Raw genomic sequence first — 24385 nt, 5'->3', positions numbered from 1 at the left:
TAATACTTTCAACTTTTATTATAGATTAAAGGGTACATGTGCAGGTTTGTTACATGGGTATATTGTGTGACGGTGAGGCTTGGGGTCCTAATGATCCCGTCACCCAGGCAGTGAGCTTAGTACCCAACAGGTGGTTCTTCAGCCCATGCCTCCCCCATCCAGTAGTCCCCAGTGTCTGTTGTTTCCATCTTCATGTTCATGTGTATTCAATGTTTAGTTCCCACTTATAAGTGAGAACACCTGGTATTTGGTTTTATGTTCTTGCATTAGTTCACACAGGTACCTAACTATTTTGCTGTTCACATTTGGTCATTGGGAACCCTTTCAATCTGACTCCTGCCTTTGGGATCTGCCCCCATCATTTTAGGGCTAATATCTTCCTTTTTTGGTATAATATATTTCAGGTGCATGTTGTATCAACCCTGTCCCTACCCTGAGTGTTAGCCATTCTTCCGAGGAGCTCTGGTTCCTTTGACTAGGAAATGATCTAGATCTGGGTGCTAGGTGTGGTCATTGCTACTAGGGCGACTTTGATTCTTGGCCTTTTCAGTTGACAGAGCTAGGGAATAATGCTTTCATATATACACACATAGACCCTAATACACATATATACAAATAGAAATATATGTGCACATGTGCATATAAGCATACACATATTGATACATAGCTTAGAAATCAGGAGTTCACAGCATACTTCCAGTTCTGTCCATAGCCACAGGGTTCTTCCTTACTCTCCCTCATTTTATATTTGTATGTCCTTTCTTTGGCCATGAGAACCTTGGCTTCCAAAAAAAAGCCACACATTTACTCATTTGCTCAATTCTGTAACACATATCACATAGTTTCAGAATTGCTTTGGTCAGACCACTAAAGTGGACAATTGTTTGCTGTCCTTTCATCCACATGCACCACTTTGCCAAGACAGAGGGCCTAAGAGTCAAATACTATGTTCAAAATTTACTTGGATTGGTCCTCCCTTCTCTCCTTCTTATCATTCATGTCTTCCTTCTTCATTCCTGTGCTCATGTATTCGTTTGAAATCTACTGAGGTTTATTGTTTCAGGTTGTTTTTGGTTATAGCTCCCTCTCCTTCACGTTCTTGTTTAATTTTATTTTTTAATATGTAGAAGGTTAACTTGCTTTCAAAAATCAAAATTACTCAAAAACTCAACTCCCATTTTCCTTCCACCCTGTTCCGCCATGCTTCCTTGTAGGTAACCAACTTCATTGTTTTCTGGTTAATCCTCCCTGTGTTTCTTTTTGTAAAGATAAGCATTTTTTTCTTCATTCTTTCTTTCCTAAAAGTAGCATACTGTATGGGTTTTTGTACTGTGTTGGGGTTTTTTCCCCACTTAGTAATATCTCCTAGAAATCATTCTGTATCAGTTTATTGAGAGCTTTCTCATTCTTTTGTACGTAGCACTGTATTGAATGTGTGTACCACAGTTTATTCAACCAATCTCTTATGCTTGAATATTTAGGAAAAGTTTTCAATATTTTACAGTCACACATTTTTCTTCATTCAGTAATTTTGTGTGTATGTGTTTTTGGAGGGATATCCATGGGTTAAATTCCCAGTAGTGGGATTGCTAGGTCATAGGGTAAGTACTTATGTAGTTTTGTTTGGTATTGCCTTATGCCCAGGCTTCATTCGTAGTTGTACCATTTTGTGTCTCCAACTACAATGTATAGAAGTCCTGGAACTATAGATTTAATATTTTCCCAACTATTCTTAAGTGTGGCTGTTAGTAATGATTGGGTCCTGATGCCACATGACATTTGGGTTTGGAGTCTTTCAGATTTCGTGATGGACTGTTAGACATGTGATCAAATAAATGTTTTAAGTCCAGGTCTCTTGCTCACTAACTGTGGGCAGTTCACTGAACAACACTTAACCTACATTTCGTAATCTGTAAAGTGAGGATGATAATATCCTTATGATGCTGCTGTGAGGTTACAAGCACCTAGTGCAAAGTTGGGCATGTAACGGGCACACAGTCTGTGTCTCTGAGTTGGAACTGCCTTTGTATTGGGCCACTTAGAGCTATTGCAGTCTTGCACAGGAAAGGACCATGGAATCACCTTGTTCTTGGCTGCTGAATAGCTTGTGTTATGGCAGGAAGAGAAGCCCAGGTTTTCAGGCCCATGGCTTTTCCTTTGCTTCACTTACTGGTGTGTTTTGTTGATTTTGTCCATAATTGAAACACATGGGCCACTTATTCAGAAGTGGTGAAAATTCTCCTGTAAAAAATTTGATTGTCAGTAGGTCTTACCACATAAGCCTTCGTTTTAACAGGATTGATAATGTTTATTAGACTTTTTAAAAACACTGTGAGATTGGGAATAAAAGTTAGTTATCATTAAAACAAAAATTAAATCAATCTGCAAGTATATGAGAGAAATACTGACTTTTTAGGAATACTACAAAACAGATGAGGAGAAGATAGAAAACTATCACAGAAAAATCCATTTGGACTTCTATGTTCATATCTGTGAATTCCTTCAAATAATAAGAATAAGCTCAACATGATAGTTTTCAAAGTTTACTGGAATACGATGTAAATATTTGTATGTAATTATTTATCAAGCAATCAACTTATTCATCCTTAAAATGGGTAAGATGGTTTTCACATTTAGCATGTTTTGAAATATAACCCACATAGCTGATAAGAGTACTAGAATATTTTGCTGTTTTTATTTTTACACTGTGAAGTATACATGCAGAAATGAAAATTAGTTTTATTCTTCAATTGCTGAGCTGAAATGCACAGTGATTTTTCAGTTAAAAAATACGTAACCATATTACATACGTTTCAAAATTTTTTAAAAAAATGTGTGTGTATCTATATGTAGAGGGTTGTTTATGTATAGTGCAATATTTTTTAAACTAGAGTATGTGCTTACCATACACTTCCCTGAAAGAAAGTTCTTTGATCAAATAAATTAGAACAACCCACAACCTTACTAGCTCTTGGAGATTCACAGTACATATTAGCGCATTAAAGGTCTGAGTGTTTAGCCCAGTGTTTCCCATACTTATCTGAGCAAAGAACCCTTCTATGCCAATATCGCAAGACCTTAGTGTTGTAAGAAATGCTCTTTGGGGAGCATTGTGTAAAGACTGGAAAGAATAAGATCATGTTTTATTCAGTGTCTTAACATTTCCTTCTGACTTCCTTTTCCAAGTAATGACAAAATTGGTGAATTTTGTTGCAGGACTCACCCTAAATTCATTAGCCAGGTGGAAACTCAGGATGCCTAGAAAAGAGAGCATGAAAAAATATGAGGAAAGCCATTAAAACAGATATTGTGCCCAGGATATCATGTGTACTAACATAGTTTAATTTTTAAAACTATAGTCAGTTTCACCATTTAGAAAGATAAAATTTTTCAAAAGACTTACAATTTTGTAAGCTTTCTTTGGTATCTATTTCCAGTTGGAGAATAAAGATTTCAGTTTGACTACTTGCCTTCCTTTGCATGATCAGTAATTAAGAAGAAAGTTATTTTAGTCATTTGCTACCAGCCGTCTGACTATTTTTGTTTCTCTCCCTGGAACCTAAACTGAGTTAATGATTGCGAGTTAATGTAAATCTTGTGTGGATTGGATAGAAAGAAAAAAGCAAAAATCTCACAGTACTTTAGACTTGTAATTGTCACACTTCTTTTTAGCCTCTTCCCCACCTCTATGGAGCATCAGTAGGAAACCTCTCTGCTGTAGACTTTCAGGTACTTATATAATGATTGCATTTTACTTTTCTTAGAAGTACTCATCTCTTTTGCTCTTCAGTGATGACCTACACTGTGTATCTTGGGTTACTTCTAATGTGACCTTGGATGTGAGCCAGGTATATAATGGGATTAAGAAAGGTATTCATACCCATAATTTTAGGGAGCCTGGGGAAGGTAGACTGTCCAGTTGTGGCTGTTTCCCAAAACAAAAACAGGGAGGAGCCTGTCAAGAGTACAGGATTGCATTCTTGTGTCAAGAATACAGGCTTGGGAGAGGCACTGAAATGGGACTAGGCCCAGGCAGAAAAAGTGGGTGTGCTGCTGGCAACGTGAGCCCTTCACTGATCCTGTCAGTAATCCCAGTACCCTTAGAAGAAGCTAGGCGAAAGTAGATTTCTTTCTTTAAGCTTGCCAAGAGAGACATAGCCAGCCAAAATGGGAAAAGAAACTGGGAAGACCAGAGGGAGTTAGGTTGGAAATTTGCTGATATAATACAGGTCCTGAATTCTTACAAATGATGGAATTGGGGGTTTGAGTCAGGTTTACTCTAGAGACCCATGGAGCAGTAATATCCACATGATATTGGACTTAGAAGTGACTCAATCTTGATTCGTTTATGAAGTAAAAAGAAATAGATTCAGAGAATAGCTTTGCTTCTGGTATGAAATGACCAAAGCTGTAAAGGTGTTTGAGTAATTTTACAAAAAGCAAGCATTGGATTCTTGGATAAAGTATTTTAGTAGGAGATTGGAATGAACTTCTTTAATTAAGCAGCTGTTCATCTGTGTGAATGAGTAGAAATGTGCTAATTGGCCATGTTTATCTGGAAGAGGTTTGGTAAGTGAGAGTGGTAGAAAGAGATATTTGAAATGCCATGGCAGTGGAATTCATGCCAGCAGTTACTCTACATGGCAAAAGTACACAGAATTTATTCAGAATACCTGGCTCCTGTTTCAATTATGTTAAGCCTCCTTTTAGTATTTGGATCACTCTGCCAGGAACAGGATAAAAAATAGGCAGCTTGTCCTAAAGCTCACTATAAGTGGAGAGTGAGTTCATACTTGTCATTTGTACTTGGCAGAAATAATTAGGAAGCCAGTGGGGAGGCACTTTTGATCCTTTAATATATTTGTACCCAAGGAAACTTGAGAAAAACTCAATTCTGGTTGGATTTGAAATATCTTTTATCCTTTCCTTAAGTGATGGTAGTTTTTTTAAAAAAGTATTAAAAGTTAGGTATCCTGTGATAAGGTCTGTACTTGAAAAGTAAAAGGATACAGTCACATACCTGAAGAAATAGTTCAAAACCAGACTAAGAAAAGTTTGAGATTTAGAGAAGACTATGTTTTATTTTAAGACGGAATACTTTGTTTCTCCTTCCAAGACTTTTGGAAGACTCATGGTAAACCTGACTCAAACCCCCAATTCCATCATTTGTAAGAATTCAGGACCTGTATTATATCAGCGAATTCCAAAAGTCTTGGAAGTCTTTGGAAGCATGTAATTAAATAAGTTTTGATATTTTTATTTAAGTACTTAAATTATACCTCATTTTGGATGATTTTGCTAAAAATGTAAAAATGTCTATGTCACAGAGAAGTCATTCTCAGCCATCATTTCTAGTAGGTGGTAATTCTCAGTATGTCCTGCCACACACAGTACTTCCATTGTTGAAAGGCACAGGGAAATGGCGGGTCCACGTAGTGAGGAAGGACATAGTGGTAGAGGGGCAGGGGTAGCCTGTCCTGGTCTGATCTTTACCTTAACAATTTATCTTGATAGAATGCAGTCACAAGCAGACTTATTTTAAATGAATAACTTGTACATTCTATTTTGGAATAATTCAGTGCCCTTAAAAACACCCACCCCTTAACAGTAGTGATTGCCTCTGGGGAAGGTAATTGGACAGTGGTGGGAGGGAGATTGAGTTGTCATTGTATACCCACTTTGAAAACTTGGGCATTTATACCATGTGCATGTTATACAATCATGTGTCAATGACAGGGATATGTTCTGAGAAACAAGTCGTTAGGCGATTTTGTCATTGTGTATACATCATAGAATATTTTTACACAAACCTGGCTGGTCTAGCCTACTACACATTGTCAGTCGAGGAAAATAACGAGACAAGTCTCAATCATTTTAGGAGATTTATTTGCTAAAGTTAAGGACATGCCAGGGAGACAGGTCTATGCCTTTCTCCAAAGATGATTTTGAGAGCTCTACATCTAAAGGGCAAAAGATGGGAGTTGAGAAGCACACTGTTTTCATGTAAGAGGGGGGTAGGGAAAAATAGTCATTCATGCCTTTGTCTGCCTCAGTGAATCTACATTTTTTTTACATAGGATGACACAAAGGGGCAGAGGAAAAATGTGGAGAATCTGTATTTTACATCAGATAACACAGACAAAATAGGGTAAGGGAAGAGTCAGATATGCGTTTGTGTCTGGGGTGACTGTACCTGTAAAGATAAAGCTATCAGTTTGCATTGCCATGGTAAAGTTTTAACAGCTCACTAGGAATTTCCTTATGAGAAAAATATGGGGGAGGCATGTAGCTTTTCATCTTGTAGCAATCTTATTTAGGAACCAAAAAGGAGAGGCAGGTTTGCGTGACCCAGTTCCCAGCTTGAATTTTCCCTTTAGCTAAATGAGTTTGGGGTCCCCAAATTTAATTTCCTTTCACAATACCTAGGCTATACAGTATAGCCTATTGCTCTCAGGCTGCCAACCTGTACAGCATGTTACTGTACTGAATACTGCAGGCAATTGGAACACTATGGTAAGTATTTATGTATCCAAACACATCTAAACACAGAAAAGGCACAGTTAAAATACGTTTTATAATCTTAAGGAACCGCTGTTGTATATGCGATCCATCATTGACCAAGACATCCTTATACAACGCATGACTGGATATTTAAAAAAAGAAAACTAAAAGAAAAAAAAATTTCTCCCTAAGGGCTCCTATCTTCTGACAAAAGCCTGGGCTTTCCCTCCCTGCCCGGAGGAGCTTCTGTGATTTTCTGTGTGTCCCCTTTCCCAGCTCTGCCACCAGTTTCTTTTGCTGCTAAGGAAAACACTTTCTGAATTCATTGACTTTTCTTCCTCACCTCTAATTGTATAATCCCTATCCCTTTCACAAAGGCCTCGGAAGATTTCTTACCGTGAAATGTGGTAACCTCCTTTCAAACTCGATTTGACTTTTCTGGGTCACTTGAGAGTTGCACTCTCTCTTCCCAGCCTCTCTGACACTCTTTTCTGGTATGTTTGGACCTCTCTCACTCCACCTTCAGGAGCGTCTTTGCAGTGATTCCACCTTCATCCATTCTGCGCACTCTCCCTGAGCAGTCTTGTTCACTTGGTGAGATCACCTGTGTGAGTAGATGTGCCCTCTCTCTGGCTCTCTGACCTGCATCCTTTGGCCCTCTAGGTGTCCCATGGGACCTCAAAATCAGAATATTTCAACCTGAACTTATTGTCTATTCCCTTGTCATCCAAATGCCCATTTTTTCCACTTGCTATATTTTAGTAGCACCCGAGCCAGAAACCTGAAAATGTTCCTTTCTTTTTTTACCAGACAAGGTTTTGGAATTACAGATAGCCTTGCTGTAATGTGTGCATGTTGGCTTTGTTTCCATCACATCTCTTCATCTTACAAATAAACTCCTAAGTTGGGCAGCATCATTCAAGTTGGACTTGGGAGAAATTTTATACATATAAATATTCTGTCCTTATTAAAAGTAGGAGACAAATCATTTCAATTATTCTTTTGCATTGATTGTTTTATGTTTATGAGTCCGTAGAAACCTCATTTCAGAGGCATTTGCTGCATTTGAGACTTGAGTTTGGTTTGTAGCTTTGAAATTAAATTAGCAAGTATATAACTTCACAGAGCTTGTGGTTTATTGTGTTAGCATTCATATTGTGTTTTGCTTAGTTTTCTGTTCAGTTACTTAAAATATAAATAGTATTTTCTGCAAAATTAGAATTACAGGCATATCTTTTTTTTTTTTTTGCACTTCACTTTATTGTGCTTTGCAGATACTGTGTTTTTTTTACAAATTGAAGATTTGTGGCAACCCTGTCAATCTGTTGGTAGCATTTTTCCAAAAGCACATGCTCACTTCGTGTCACTGTGTCACATTTTGGTAATTCTTGCAATAGTATTTCAAACTTTTTCATTATTATTACATACGTTATAATGATACAGGAGCTAAGAAGGAATTAGGTAGATAACAAGGGCACGGGCGCTTGATAAGGCTCTACTTTCTAATGAAAAGCAGTCCTGAATCATTTTCTAACAAAGAGCACCCTGCAAGCTAGGAGCTTGCACAGGTGGGTGCCAGCAGGAACTAAGGACTAGACATTTTCAAAATGGTGGGTCCATCTTCCCTTCTCTGCCAGCCACACATACTATAAAGGAGCAGACAAGATGGCGCAGATCAACTGGAAAGCCTATTTGCATAAGAAGATTACGGTAGGGTGACCAGCCTTCCCCGCACACTATGTAGACATCATATCTGATGAAACCAATCTGTGAGCCCTATATAAATCAGACACCGCCTTCTGCAGCCTGCCTATAAAATCTGCTGTGGTCCATGGCCTCCCAGCCTTTTTCAGACGTCTCTTTCTCTTTCTCAGGGAGCTGCCCTCCTCCCTCCTTTCTTCTCTCTATTAAACTTTCCACCCCTTAACCCACCTGAATTCTTTCTCAATGCGTGACAATGAACCCCAAGGTATATACCCCAGACAGTGTAGCCACTTCAATAGTGATCTGTGATCAGTGATCTTTGATGTTACTGTTGCAATTGATTTGGGGTGCCACAAACTGCATCTATGTAAGATAGCGATCTTAATTGATAAATGATGCATGTGTTCTGACTGCTCCACAGACTGGCCATTCCCTGTCTCTCTCCCTGTCCTTAGGCCTCCCTAGTTTCCAAGAAACAGTAATATTGAAACTAGGTCAGTTAATAACCCTACAATAACCTCTAAGGGTTCAACTGAAAGGAATAGTTGTGCATCTGTGATTTGAAATCAAATGCTAGAAATGATTAAGCTTAGTGAGGAAGTCATCTTAAAGGGTGAGATAGGCTGAAAGCTAGGCCTCTTGTGCCAGTTAGCCAAGTTGTGAATGCAAAGAAAAAATTCTTGAAGGAAATTTGGAGAGCTACTGTAGTGAACACAAAAATAATAAGAAACAAAACAGTCTTACTGCTAATTTGGAGAAAGTTCGAATGGTCTGGATAGAAGATCCAACAAGCTGCAGCATTTCCTTAAACCAAAGTCTGTAATCCAGAGAAAGGCTCTAACTCTCTTCAATTCTGTGAAGTCTAAGAGAGGTGAGGAAACTGCAGAATAAAAGTAGGAAGCTAGCAGAGGTTGGTTCATTAGGTTGAAGGACAGTAGCCATCTCGATAACATAAAAAGTACAAGGTGAAGCAGCAAGTACTGATTTAGAAGCTGCAGCAAGTAATCCAGAAGATCTAGCTAAGATTATTGATGAAAGTGGCTACACTAAACAACAGATTTTCAGTGGAGACAAAACAACCTTCTTCTGTTGGAAGAAGATGCCATCTAGGACTTTCATAGCTATAACGAGAAGTCAATGCCTGCATTAAAGCTTCCGAGGACAGGGTGACTGTCTCTTTAGGTGCTACTGCAGCTGGTGACTTTAAGTTGAAGCCAATATTCATTTACCATTCAGAAAATTCTGGGTTCTATACAAATGATGCTAACTGTACTCTGTGCTCTATAAATGGAAAAACAAAGCCTGGATGACAGCACACCTATTTACAGCATGGCTTAGGAAACAAACAAACAAACAAAATATATATATATATATACACACACATATATATATGTGTGTGTGTGTATATATACATAGATATATATATATATATTTTCGAGACAGAGTCTCATTCTTATCACCCAGGCTGGAATGCAGTGGCACGATCTCGGCTCACTGCAACCTCTGCCTCCCGGATTCAAGCCATTCTCCTGTCTCAGCCTCCGAAATAGCTGGGATTACAGGCGCCTGCCACCATGCCCAGCTAATTTCTGTATTTTTAGTAGAGATGTGGTTTCGCCATGTTGGCCAGGCTGGTCTTGAACTCCTGACCTCAGGTGATCCGCCTGCCTCAGCTCCCCAAAGTGCTGGGATTACAGGCATGAGCCACCACTCCTGGGCCGGCTTAGTGAATATATTAAGCCCAATGTTGATATCTACTGCTCAGAAAAAAAAGGATTCCTTTCAAAATATTACTATTCATTGACAGTGCACCTAGTTACTCTAGAGCTATCATGGAGATGTACAAGGAGATTAATGTTGCTTTCAAGCCTGCTATCACAGTATCTGTTCTGCAACCCATGGATCAAGAGGTAACTTCAACTTTCAAGTATTAAGAAATACTTTCTACAAACTATAGATGCGATAGATAATGATTTCTCTAATGGATCTGGACAAACAAAGTGAAAAACTTCTGGAAAATATTCACCATTCTGGATGCCCCTAAGATAATTTATGATTTATGGCAGGAGGTCAAATTATTCTGATTAGCAGGAGTTTGAAAGAAGATGATTTCTACCCCCACGATGACTTTGAGGGGTCCAAGACTTCAGTGAAGGAAGTAACTGCAGATGCGGTAGAAATAGCAAGAAAACTAGAATTAGAAGTGAAGCCTGATGGTATAACTTAATTGCTGCAATCCCATGATAAAACTTGAAGGAATAAGGAGTTGCTTCTTATGAATGAACAAAAGTGGTTCTTGAGTTGGAATCTACTCCTGGTGAAGATGCTGTGAACATTTTTAAAATGACAACAAAGGATTTAAAATATTACACAAACTTAATTGATAAAGTAGTGGTAGGGTTTGAGAAGATTAACTCCAAGTTTGAAAGAAGTTCTACTGTGGGTCAAATGCTATCAAACAATATCACGTGCTGCAGAGAAATCTTTCTTCAATGGAAGAGTCCATTAACACAGAAAGCTTCATTGTTGTCTCATTTTAAGAAATTGATATAGCCACTCTAACCTTCAGCAACTACCACCCTGGTCAGTCAGTAGCCATCAACATTGAGGCAGTACCTTCCACCAACCAAAAGATTATGACTTCCTGAAGGCTCAGATGACTTTTACCATTTTTCACCAATGAAGTATTTTTAAATTATAGTATATATGTTTTTTTAAGACCTAATGCTGTTATATACTTAATAGACTACAGTGTAATGTAAGCAACTTTTACCTGCTCTAGGAAGCCAAAAAATATGTGCAACTCACTTTATTGCAATATTCACTTTATTGCAGTAGTCTGCAGCTGAACCTATAGTATCTCCAAGGTATGCTTGTACAGTTGTTCCTCAGCATCCACAGGGTATTGGTTTCAGAAACCTTCCTCCCAAATCCGAGAATGCTCAAATTCCTTATATAAATGGCATGGTATTTGCATATAACCTACACACATTCTCCCATATACTTTAAGTCATTTTTAGATTACTTATGATTCCTAATCTAAGTGCTATGTAAATAGTTGTTATGCTCTATTGCTTTTTAAATTTGTATTATTTTTTCTGAATATTTTTGATTCAAGTTTGGCTAACTTGTGTATGTGGAACCTGTGGATATAGAGGGCTGATTTGTACCTTCAATGTTGTTTTATTTCTTACTTATTAAATATAGAGAATCAAATAACTACTGGATTAAAATAATTAGCATGTATTATACACCTATTATATGATATTTTATGTATGCATATTGTTGAATTTGATCCACTCAGTGACTTGATGCAGGATGGAGAGACATGGCATCAGAGGCATTATTTAATTTTCCCAGATTATGCTGCTGGGGTGGTCACTCCTGGTGGTTCTTGGCTTGAGATTCTTTACTCATTGCTTTATGTGTGACTTGTTCATCCCTGAAAGTAATACACTTAAGGACTGGATTTGTGGGCATCTTTTTTTTACTGGGAGTTGATTTTCACATGGTCCGTGCTTTTCCTGTATTAGTGGCCATTTATGAGGGAGATTTTGTAGTATTTCACTTCTACCGTCCAAACTATCTATTGTCATGGGGCAATGTAAAAGTAGGTAATAAAGGTGCTTTAAGATTTAAGTGTAATTTATAAAATTTTAATCGATGGAAGGTGATTTTAATGCACCTCTCCAAAAATAGTTACCAAGAGACAGTTATTATTTATATATTATCAATAATCTCTCTGCTTGAATTTTTGTTACTTAAAGGGGGCTGTTATTTGAAGAATGCTATCTTCCTTCCCTGGTCATTATTCATATTCTGTCTCTCTTTCTCTCTTAGTGTAACGAAACCTCATTCTTTTTTGAAGCTCGGAGTAAAACTGCTTGCAAGCACCTCTGGAAGTGCAGTGTGGAACATCATACATTTTTTAGGTAAATTGATGTAAAAATTTTGTTTGTTGTCTTAATAAATGAAAATGGCATTTATTTTTATAAAAAGAATTCTGTCTAAAACAGAAATTTGGAATTGTTTCCCTTTTATTAATTTTCTCAATTCCTAATTCTCTGGATTATATTAATACAAACATGCACACATTCATGTATGTGTAGATATATATACACATAGGCACTTATACACATAGATACAGTTATATCTTTGATACTGCAAGAAAGGATCGAGGTAATATTTTTTAGGTTTATGTAAAACATGCAGCCATTGCTAGCACCTATGTAGTATTGGTGGAAATGGAGTGTTCTGTGCATAATTAATTTGAAAAGCCTATCAGCCATCTAGGTAGAAATGTGGTAAGTCAGTTAGGTGTACAAGGCTCACTGGAAAGACCAAAGTTGATGAAGTCACTTAAGTAGTTATTTACAGAAGTGGCTGGATGAGGTCACCAGTGGAAACAGTGGAGAGAGAAGCAGAACTCCAAGGACTGAGCTTGGTGGCCCTCCCGACATTAGAGGGCAGGATGAGCCAGTCTAGAGTATGAGAAGGAGCAGTCAGAAGAGTGTGTTGTATCCTGGGAAACGAGGAAAGGGAATGTCTTGATGAATAAGGTGCTGGCAACTGCATGCAGTCCTCCTGGGAGGTCCGGTCAGATGAAACTAGAGAAATGACCTTTGGATTGTGGGGATACTTTTTTCTTTGTTTCACATCTTTATGTTGTAAAGATAAAACAAAAATTTAGCTGGTGATACATTAAGCTTTATTTTTTGGTTTTGTTTTTTAAATGGAAACAAAATTGAGTTCTTCCCTGTTTCATCCTCATGGAGTATGAATTGCATGATGTTGGAGAAGTATTCTTATAAAGTGGCTGGAGTCCTTTATAAAGTTTGTGTTAGGAGAAGGGGGTGGCCCAGAATGCCTATAACATTGAGTCTTTGTCTGATTTTCTTTTAAAAATTGATTAGAATGCCAGAAAATGAATCCAATTCACTGTCAAGAAAACTCAGCAAGTTTGGATCCATACGTTATAAGCACCGCTACAGGTAAATGACATTTTTTTCCTTGGGGGGATGTGTTTGTAAATAAATACTTAATTCAGCTGTCATACATGCTCAGTGAAGTTATTTATTTATTTTTTTCTTTTTTCTTGCATTGCCAATGTGTTTTGTAAGCATAACAGTTTATTAAAACTTTCTCAACAAACATGATTTTCCAGATTTAATTATATTTAGTGTCTGCATTAGCTATGTTGTGGGCTTTTAGATCATAGTAAAGTTTATTATCTTCAGAAATTCATTTTGACACAGTTATCACTTATTTTTAATTATGTGTGTTTTGTGATTATGAAACAATGTAGATTCTGAATAGTAACTAATTGTGTTTTTAAGACATTCAGTTGATCCCCTATTTTAATACAATCTATACTTTTTATATTGTGCATCAAACCTTGTTTTTTCTGCAACATGAAGCCTGCATGTAGTAATGCTAGCAATTATATCTCAACTTTATTGAGCAGTTACTAAGTGCTGTGTACTGTGATACATGTTTTCCATTCATTGCTTCATTTAGTTATCAATCTTCTGTAATATTAGCCCCATTAATGTATGAGGACCCTAAGGCTCAAAGAGGTCAAGTCCCTTCTCCAGGTAATCCAGCTAGGAAGCGGGGAAGTGGGATCCATCCCCTGGCGCTCTAGCTGCAGAGCTCATGTTTATAACCATTAGGCAAACTGTTAGCCTGTTGTGGAAAAAGCCTGATTGTCATGCAGCTAGGCAGGCGCTTATGTCTTTTTCTGATACCAGCATTAAAAATGAGAGTGGGTTCTATATTTTGAAAAAGAATTTGTCTTGTTTCAATTCATTCTGTTCAATGGAGAGAGCCTGTGATGTGCAAGGCATAGTATTAGGTACCTAGAGATACAAAGAATCAGATCTACCCACTTCTGCCTTCAAAGAGCTATAGTATTATTCAAACAGTGAGGGAGGTCCCCAGGCCTTGTAAAACCCAAGCAGGGTGGGGAGATGCCACCTAGTGTCACAGAGATGGGACACTTTTGTCAGTTCCATTGGAGACATCACTGAATGAAATGCTTCCTTAAGAGGTACAAAAAAAGCCAAGGCAAGCATTTTCAGGACAATAGTCCTCTATGCTAGATTTTAATTCTTCTCTTTTATAATGCACTTTTTGGGTCTTGAATTTGAGATTAAAGATTATCAGTAAAAGAGTAATGAATATTAAACGTTCAGTGCATTCATCTTTATATATTATTTAGTTGAAAATTTGCTCATTGCATGAATAAAAATACTTAAGTGTCATTGTATTATAGATATTCTTGGAATTTACATGAAGGTATTCATTGATATGTTAATGTTTAACCTTTAGGTTTTCACTGTTCTTCTGTAGACAGTGATACAATTATGAAGAATTTAAGGAAGTATTGTTTACATTTATATTGAGAAGAGCAGGTAATAGTCAGTACTTGGACTGTTCTTCCAGTTGTGGCATAAAACATCACCAGGATTATAGAGAGAATGTCTCCTTGTCCCTGAAAAGGAGCTGGTAGAAAGACATCTGTCTTAATGTTCATACTATTAAAATTGTAATTATCCTCTTTAACATACGCTGTTGTTGGCTTCCACAAATTTAGCCATACTTTATTTCTCAAATTTATTGAAATGCAAATGTTGTGGCTACTGGGAATTATTATTAGGAAGTTATTGGATTTTGCATATTAAGTATCATTTCTTCCAAGGAAGTGATTAAAAGTAACCTTTGCAAAATTGGAGGCCATGCTAAATCTGTTCCAATTTTGTGGCTGATGTTAACTGCCTAGTAAGTCTTAATGAATCTTAAATCTACATGTCTATATGTAGGAGACACTAACATTACACCATCCTTGGAAGAAAGACGATGCCCAGAGGTTAGGCAGGGATGGGTCTCTGATTGCTGGGGGTTCATTAGCACACAGACTGTTTATTGTCAAAAGAGGGCAAGCAACCAGACTTTAACCAGCACAATATGCCTGCCCCTTTCTTGAGACATTCCGGAGACATCCTGGAATGAAAGCAGAGCTCTGGAAACACATTCTCTTCCTTTCACCCTGCAGGCTTTTAAAGAATAGGGTATAAAGAACAGCTTAACAGGTGGCTGCAGTGTATGAATGCAGGTATCTGGGTGTGTTTGTGTGTGTAATTGTGTATGTGTTTATAGTGATGTGTTAGTGTCTTTGTGGTTGTGCACCATACATATATGTGATGGAGGAAGACAAGAGTTCTAGTCTTTACTCTGTCTTGCATTTTAAGGCTTGCAAAATGCCAAGGACGGTAGCACTTTTTGGGAAAACTAGTGCTTACTTAAGGGAAAAATCGGACTTTTTTTAGTGATATGGGAAAATGAAGATTAAAAATTAAATTTGTGAGGAAAGGCTGAGCTGAAATCTGATGTTCCAGTACTTTTTGTTGTTGTTGTTACTGTTGTTTTATTACCAGGGACCAATAATCTGAAATAGAAATCTTTGATTAAACATTTTGTTATACATTGCTATCTTCTCTGAGCCCCTTACAAATTAACCTTGCCTTTACCTGTCATTAAGTTGTGGGGTGCTCCTAGTTTTGATTAATGAGTTGTGTAGAATTTACACTTGAGAATTGAGAAAGAAGGCTTAGAAACTCCCCTGGGAACCCAGATCCTCACTGTAGGACTCAACTCACAGGAGCTGTCATGAGATTTCACATTCTATGAAGCATGGAAGAGAGACCAAGTTCTCCTAAGAACCTCCTTTGTGTCAGTTGCTTTCACATGTGCAGCTTTATTTAATCCACACAATGACCTGCCAAAGAGGTTTCATATCCCCCTTTATATAGATGAGAAATTGGAGCCTCCAAAAGTAAAGTAAGCGTCCCTAATCAGTAAGTGGCAAAGCTGGGGTTTTGAACCTGAGTATTTCTACTCTCGTTCTTTTCTTTCTGTCTCACTTAGAGGCTGAAGGGGCTGCTGGCAGTGCCACTCAGCATGCAAAGGGCTGTATTTATGCCAGAGGCAGCAGGGAAGTGGGTGATCACAGAAATAAAACTGTGTCCTGTCGTAACAGAGAGCCACCAAACATGTGCAGGGACTTTCATCACCTTACACTGTAAATCTCCATACTTGTCAATTACTTTCTGCTACAAGGAAATAGGATGCTATATAAGAATACTTCTGCCAGGAAATTGTAAGAACAAGTAGAAATATAAATGAGGAAAATGAGGCTGCAAGGATTTTTACAAATAACTTTCTGAAGACCACTTAGCTGGGGAAAGGCAGAGCTTTGCTTTAAACAGGGCTTGCAACTTCAAACCCAACAGCTACATGTGCTGTTCCTTCTCCCATGCCATCAGCCTATGCCATACTGACCAGCAGGAGGTCAGAAAGCTTGTTCTAGTGCTGGGTCCTGTATAGCCTATGGCAGATCACTTTACGCTTCTGGTCCTTGGTCTTATTAATCTTAGGATATGATTTTCTCATTTCTCTTTTGTTCCTAGAGAGAAACCATGAGAAAAATTTGAATAATAAAAAAAATCTGACTGTGAAATGCCTCAGTGGTTCACATATTGGGTTATATTTTTAGGGGGAACATTTTTTCCTCTGTGAGTGAAGTGTACAGTGCCCAGGTCTTTCTGTTAATAGTCTGTTGAAAGTAGGCCTTATCTTCATACTCCAGACCATTTATAATAATGAAACTTTTCACTTTATGGGGATTTTTAGCTTTTTGGAAATCTATGTTATCCTGTGTACCTTTTTAGAAGAAGTTACATTTCAAGCAAAAGAAAATCTGTCAGTTTGCTCCTCTCCCCTCCCGAATTTCCATGAACTGTTACTGAACATGAAGAACAATCATGGATGCGCCCTGGCATCTTTATTCCCCTGGTAGCTGATACCACACGTCCCAACTTAGCCTGATGCAGAGTCATTTTTATAAGTTTTGTAGGCATCTTCATTTTTAATAAAGGTAGAGGAAGTAGTAAGGAGGAGAAACTTCCACAGAAGCATGTGAAAGATGAATTTTAAGTCTGTTAAATCTGTTTTTTGGGGAAACACTCACCTGTGTTTATCCTGTAAATGTAAGATGAATAGGATTTGGGGCCATTAAAAGACTTTTTTCCTCCCATAGATGGCTGTACTTGTGGTGAATCAAACTAGACTTGTAGAAATGCGTTTTTCCTGTACCTAAATGATATTTACCTGCATGAAAGCCAGGGTCATTCAGTTGCTCAAATTCAGCAGTTGTGGAATAAATTGTTAGTAAGGTGAATGTTCACTGAAATCCAGCAAACTAAATCACATGATTCCTTGGGAAAATTACTTGAGAAGTTTGGCCCAGCCCCAGGGAAACCTGCCCTGGAATCTGCATGGAATGTATAGAGCAGCAGTGCTTTGCATGGGGTTCTAGGCCTGCCTTCAGTCTTCCTGGACACTTGATCTGGCCCAGGCAGGGTGGGCATAGTAAATGGCTAATTGTGCCATGACAGAGTCCAGAATAAAATCATACCGAGTGGTCTTGTGGGGGATGGTTTACAACCTGCTGTGTGAGTACAACATGGAGCTCATGTGGAATCATTGCCTTCCCACAGTTTAGCCCAACTTAATTTCTTTATTATTTAGTGACCTTAAAGACTGTCAGCAACCTTTATTTCTAGCCCATCATTCTACTGAAATCTAATTCCTCCTTTAATAAATTCTTTCTTCCTGTTTCCTCCTCTGAAAGATTTTCCTTCTATCTAATGTAAATCTCCTCCTAGAATTTAATAACCACTCCCTTGATCAATATTGCAATGAGAATCAATTAAAAACCAGGGAGTCTGTGTGTTTTTTCTTCTCTCCATATTTGGCAGATGTTCTGAATGACCTGTTGTTTAATTTTGTGGCTGTGTGGTTTTACCTTTGCTAATCAAAATGTTGCACTCTCAAGTGGCAGGACAGCTTTGCAAATGAGCCGAGATCTTTCTATTCAGCTTCCCCGGCCTGATCAGAATGTGACAAGAAGTCGAAGCAAGACTTACCCTAAGCGAATAGCACAAACACAGCCAGCTGGTAAGTCATGGTTCCCCTGAGTTATCTATGTAACCTTGTTTTCCTTTAGGCTGGTAGTGTAAGATATACTCAGGTGATGTCTATAACTCTACAGTCTTTCTATTGAAATTTCCAATATTAAAATTTTCTAATATTAGAAATTTTAATTTGATCTTGGAAATGTTCAAGCAGACAGTAATTTTAAGAAGACATATAGTCATCTTGAATCACCATGGCCTGCTTAATGACTGTACTTTCTTTTTTTTTCTTTTTTGAGTTAGGATCTTGCTGTGTCACCAGGCTGGATTGCAGTGGCATGATTATAGCTCACTGCTGCCTTGACCTCCTGGGCCCAAGTGATGTTCTGACCTCAGGTAGCTGAGACTATAGGCACATACTACCATGCCTGGTTATTTTATTTTTATTTTATTTTATTTTATTTATATTTTATTTTATTTTATTTTATTTTAATTTTATTTATTTTATATTATTTTATTTTATTGAGATAGGGTCTCACTATGTTGCCCAGGCTGGTCTCAAACTCTTGGGCTCAAGTGATCATCTCTCTTCAGCCTCCCAAAGTGCTAGGATTACAGGCATGAACCACCATGCCTGGCCCCATACGTTCTTTTTGAAGGGGTTTTATTTTACATAAAATCTTGGCTGGGCACAATGGCTCATACCTGTAATGTCAGTGCTTTGGGAGGCTGAAGCAGGAGGATGGCTGGAGCCCAGGAATTCAGGGTTACAGTGAGCTATGATCATGCCACTACACTCCAGCCTGGGTGATAGACTGAGACCCTGTTTCTTAAAACAAACAACAAAAACCACACAAGACAAAATGCTAAACTGAGTAATTTCTTAATTTGATGTATTTGAGTTGAAATTGAAAAAACTCTTAGCAAGAGTCTTGAAAAAAACAAACAAACAACAAAAAACAGCACTTCTGGGCATGATGGTAAGGCTGTCGTCCTAGCTACTCAAGAGGCTAGGGCAGAAGTATCGCTTGAGCCTGGGAGTTTGAGTATAGCCTGAGCAACAAAGTGAGGCCCCTATCTATTAAAAATACAAATTAAAAAAAAGGAGCACTATTGAGGTAACTTAATTTGAGCTTCATTTGTACAGAATCCAGTTGGTTCTTTGTTATTATTGGTCTTTTATTGTGTAACATAATACACATATAGAAAGTATATAAATAAAATATCCATACTTATGGACATATACATACATGTATACATATGTGTGTAGACACATACAAAGTTTAATCTAGCCTGCATCCCAAAAGTGCCACATGGGCATTTCTCTGATAAGTGTTCTCACCATTTCCTCCCCTCAGTTAGAGGAAACTTCTGTTTGACTTTGTGGTAATTTCATTCCTTTCTTTTCATTATAATTTGTCAGTTTCCTGAACAAATTAGTTTATTTTGCCTGTTTTTAACATTAGATGAATGGATCATAGTATGTCTTTTTTTGTGTCTTGATTCTTCCTGCCAACATTATATACAGTGTGTACTAAAGCACATTCCTTTTTCTTGCTGTGAGTATTCTTGTGTTTGACAATTTATTCATTCTACTGTTGATGGATATTTGGGTTATTCAGATTTTTTTTTAATGAAGACACTGTGTCTTTAATAAAACCACCTAATCAAGCAGCTTTAATCCATGTTCAGTGCTCATTGCTCACAGAATTTTACTGTGAAGTAATATTGCTGACGTTAGTTTGTGGCTTGCTTATAGATCACCCTTGTCTAACACTCTCCAGTGTCCTTTCACAGATATTATCTTGTTTGAGCCTCACCCTGTGAGGTGGGGCAAGGGAAAGAGTACATACCATTTTACAGATGAGGAAGATGTGCTTCTAGCAGTTATTCAGAGGTGTGGCTGGGACAGGAGCCCAGGTCTCCTGGGTCTAGCACATTATAGGAAGTAAATGAAATTTTTAGTAACAATATTAACATTGGAACATTGTGTGAAAATTGACCTAGCATTATGACATCTATCATTTCATTTAATCCTTTTGTCAAGCCTGTGAAGAAAAGTGTATGAGTTTATTTTACCATTCCTGTGTGTGAGAATGTCACCTGACTTACTGCTTCTAAAGTCAAATTAAGTCTCACTCTAGTTCCCCTCCTCTTGTTGGGCTGGAAGGAAATAAAGTTCTTTCTGGTGGTTCTACACTGACAAGAATAAAACATGACTAAATTTGCAATAGATTACCTTGCCACATCACTATTATTTTGCCTCCCTTCAGGTAATGAGGAAACTAAGACGTGAAAGGCAGTTTGGCTAAAACTACTGTGGAGTAGGTTTACTGGGCATTGGTTACTGACTTGTTTGAGTCCATTGAGAGAGAACACGCTCATATGCAACAAGTTACATGAAGCTTATGTATTACTTACACATGGGCATCAGAGGACAAAGGATGTCTAGGATTTGTTGTAAGCTGGTCCCCCTAATGCACAGCCCAGCCTTTTTGGAGGACAGCCTCCCAGCATCAGGTGGATCTCTCTCTCTCTCTCTCTCTCTTTTTTTTTTTTTTTTGAGACAAGGTTTCACCTTGTCACCCAGTCTGGAATGCAGTGTTGTGGCCATAGCTCACAGTAGCTTTGAACTTATGGCTCAAGCAATCCTCCCACCTCAGCCTTCTGTGTAGCTGGGATTACAGGCATACGCCACCACGCCCGGCTAATGTTTTTTTAATCTTTTATTTTTTGTAGAGATGGGGTCTTGCTGTGTTTAGGCTGGTCTCAGACTCCCAGCCTCAAGCAATCCTTACATCTTGACCTCCAGAAGTGTTAGGATTACAGGTGTGAGCCACTGTGCCTGGCAGGTGGATCCTTTTTTTTTTTTTTTTTTTTTTTTTGAGACGGAGTCTAGCTCTGTCGCCCAGGCCGGACTGCGGACTGCAGTGGCGCAATCTCGGCTCACTGCAAGCTCCGCCTCCCGGGTTCACGCCATTCTCCTGCCTCAGCCTCCCGAGTAGCTGGGACTACAGGCGCCCGCCACCGCGCCCGGCTACTTTTTTGTATTTTTAGTAGAGACGGGGTTTCACCTTGTTAGCCAGGATGGTCTCGATCTCCTGACCTCATGATCCACCCGCCTCGGCCTCCCAAAGTGCTGGGATTACAGGCGTGAGCCACCGCGCCCGGCCAGGTGGATCTTTTTAAAATGTGGAATGTATTATGCTTTTATTATTACAAAAACACATGCTTATTTTATAAAATTTAGAAAACTTAGAATCTTCTCTCCCAAAAAGAAAGAAAAAAACTTTTATATTCAACTCCATTCTACTTGTAGTAGCACTGTATTATACAGCCTTTTGGTCAATTGTATATCTTTTTCACACAAGTGGTACAATCATGGGTTTTCAACTTGCTTTTCTTACTTAATAATACCTCATGGATATGTTTAAATGTTCCTAAACAATGCCATTTTAATATCTGTATGATTTTCTGCTGTATAGATATAGAGATGTGACAATTCAACCAATCTTTAATTCTTGGATATTTAAGCTGTTTCAAAATTTGAAAACCATAAATAGCTCTAAAGTGAATATTCTTGTAGTGATATCTTTAAGCATTCATGACTATTTATATATTTTAAACAGTGGTGTGTATTCATCATTTTTATTCTAAAAAGAGGATTAAATAGTGCTGTGTTAAAATTTAAGACTTTGCTGAGACCACCTTTCAGTCTGATTTTTGAATTGCTTTTATCCTGACTTTTTTTCTTGAGACAGAGTCTCACTGTGCCACCCAGGCCGGAGTGCAGTGGTCCAATCTTGGTTCACTGCAACCTGAAACCATAAAAACTCTAGAAGATAACATCGGTAAAACTCTTCTAGACATTGGCTTAGGCAAAGCTGTTCATAGCCAAGAACCCAAAAACAAATGCAACAAAAACAAAAATAAATAGATAAGACCTAATTAAACTGAAAAGCTTCTGCACAGCAAAGGAAATGATCAGAGTAAACAGTCAACCCACAGACTGGGAGAAAATATTCGCAAACTATGCATCCAGCAAAGGACTAATATCCAGAATCTACGAGGAACTGAAATCAGCAGGAAAAAAAATGAATAACCCATCAAAAAGTGGGCAAAGGACACGAATAGACAGTTCTCAAAAGGAGATGTACAAATGGCCAACAAACATGTGAAAACATGCTCAACATCACTAATGATCAGGGAATTGCAAATCAAAACCACAATGAGATACCGCTTTACTCCTGCAAGAATGACCATAATTAAAAAATAAAAAAAATAATAGATGTTGGTGTGGATATGGTGAAAAGTAACACTTTTACACTGCTGGTTGGAATGTAAACTAGAATAACCACTGTGGAAAATAGTATGGAGATTCCTTAAAGAACTAAAAGTAGAGCTACCATTTGATCCAGCAATCCCATTATTGGGTATCTGCCCAGAGGAAAAGAAGTCATTATATAAGAAAGACACTTGCACACGATATTTATAACAGCACAATTTGTATTTGCAAAACTATGGAACCAGCCTAAATGCCCATCAGCCAACAAGTGGATAAAGAAAAGTGGTGTTTATATTACTATGTACACTATAGAATACTACTCAGCCATAAAAAGGAACAAAATAATGGCATTCGTGGCAACCTGGATCAGGTTGGAGACCATTATTCTTTTTTTTTTTTTTTTTGAGACAGAGTCTAGCTCTGCCTCCCAGGCTGGAGTGCACTGGCGTGATCTCGGCTCACTGCAAACTCTGCCTCCTGGGTTCACACCATTCTCCTGCCTCAGCCTCCCAAGTAGCTGGGACTACAGGCGACCACCACCATGCCTGGCTAACTTTTTGTATTTTCAGTAGAGACAGCGTTTCACCATGTTAGCCAGGATGGTCTTGATCTCCTGGCCTCGTGATCCATCTGCCTTGGCCTCCGAAAGTGCTGGGATTACAGGTGTGAGCCACCGTGCCTGGCCTGGAGACCGTTACTCTAAGTGAAGTAACTCAGGAATGGAAAACCAAATATTATATGATCTCATTTTTAAGTGGGAGCTAAGCTATGAGGACACAAAGGCATAAGAATGATATAATGGACTTTGGGGATTTGGGGGAAGGGTAGGAGGGGGTGAGGGATAAAAGACTACACATTGGGTACAGTGTACACTGCTTGGGTGATGAGGGCACCAAAATCTCAGAAGTCACCACTAAAGAACTTACTCATGTAACCAAGAACCACCTGTTCCCCTAAAACTATTGAAATAAAAATAATAAATAAATAAATAAAAATACCCCACAAGAGTTATTTAGTGGAGTAGGAATAGGCAAACGTTTTTCACGAAGGGCCAGATAATGAATATTTTAGACTTTGCAGGCCATGTGGTTTCTGATGTAACTATTCACCTCTGCCATTTGTAGCACAATAGTGTCACTGAAAATATGCAAATGAATAAATGTGATGTGTTTCAAAAAAAACACAAAACATTTGTATATAATTTTTTAAAAAGTCGTGATGGGGGTTATTACTTTTTGTTAGTTTGTATCATTAATTTATACTAAATGAGTTTTTACTTTAGAAGACCTTTCTTTTTAATTCCGAAGTTAAAGTAATTCAATCAAACTAGATGACTAGTCCCCTTAACTTGCATCCCAGTTGTCTGTAAGTTTAAAAAGCATGTTTATTCACCTCTCAATCAGGAGTAATAAATGCCCTGGCAGCTAAAAAGCCATTGTGTTTAGAATTTGCCAAGTGCAGGCCCTGGCACCTTTATGAGGAAGTACATTCCAGAATCAAGTGCCCTGCACCCAGCTGCCTGCTTCCCCACCCAGAGGAGGTCAGCATCAGGGCAGGCAGCCAGAGCATTCCTGCAAGTCTAAACTGCCTCAGAGGAGCTTGGGTAAAGCCAGAAAAGGGACGGCAGGAGGAAAAAGTGCCCTCCTGTTACAACCCTCTCTCTGACAAGTTCTTGGCAACTCACACAGTTGGATTCCTGTCAAAGGAGATCGTCTCTGCTGTAAGTAGGCAATGAAGACAGAATATTTGGATATAATTCATAATTAGCTATAAGAAAAGTAATGGGTGAAGCCATTTGGGATGGATACACAAGGCTTTGATTATCTGATGCAGCATTTTAAGTTCTTAAAAATATCTCACTGAACACACAAATACTTGCAGCATAATCTTTGAACTATTGCAAAGCAAGATAAGATGACAT

At 38.2% G+C, this 24385-nt stretch overlaps 1 protein-coding gene and 1 long non-coding RNA gene across 16 annotated transcripts in view, besides 1 other annotated feature; one reads left to right on the top strand and one right to left on the bottom strand.

Moving 5' to 3' along the window:
* The window catches only part of EPB41L4A (erythrocyte membrane protein band 4.1 like 4A), a 278107-nt gene that overhangs the window by 167080 nt on the left and 86642 nt on the right, over positions 1–24385 (top strand). For 14 of the 15 annotated variants that reach the window (XR_001742173.3, NR_144931.2, XM_011543531.4 and 11 more), the window contains 3 exons: positions 12046–12137; positions 13119–13196; positions 18101–18222. Coding sequence is in view for 13 of the 15 variants with exons in the window: in XM_011543531.4 (XP_011541833.1) it covers positions 12046–12137; positions 13119–13196; positions 18101–18222 (292 nt within the window). In the remaining 2 variants the exon portion in view is untranslated. Of the gene's footprint in view, positions 1–12045; positions 12138–13118; positions 13197–18100; positions 18223–21940; positions 24184–24385 lie in introns of those variants that run through there. The other variant, XM_047417479.1, reaches the window with a different exon arrangement.
* LOC101927023 (uncharacterized) overlaps positions 1–24385 on the bottom strand; it is a 29027-nt gene that overhangs the window by 4454 nt on the left and 188 nt on the right. Inside the window, exons 2-3 of the long non-coding RNA NR_110559.1 lie at positions 3224–3258; positions 2083–2241 (exon numbers count right to left, since the gene is read on the bottom strand). This is a non-coding gene — a long non-coding RNA (uncharacterized LOC101927023). The remainder of the gene's footprint in view (positions 1–2082; positions 2242–3223; positions 3259–24385) is intronic.
* Positions 14933–15444: an enhancer, noted in NCBI's record as "NANOG hESC enhancer chr5:111573109-111573620 (GRCh37/hg19 assembly coordinates)". NCBI's record gives its function as "activates a minimal SCP1, AML or CMV promoter by ChIP-STARR-seq in naive H9 embryonic stem cells {active_cell/tissue: H9 hESC(naive)}" and the evidence as "EXISTENCE:reporter gene assay evidence [ECO:0000049][PMID:30033119]".

This window comes from Homo sapiens, chromosome 5, assembly GCF_000001405.40.
Source record: "Homo sapiens chromosome 5, GRCh38.p14 Primary Assembly".
Lineage (NCBI taxonomy): Eukaryota > Metazoa > Chordata > Mammalia > Primates > Hominidae > Homo > Homo sapiens.
This window is presented reverse-complemented; position numbering and strand designations above follow the sequence as displayed.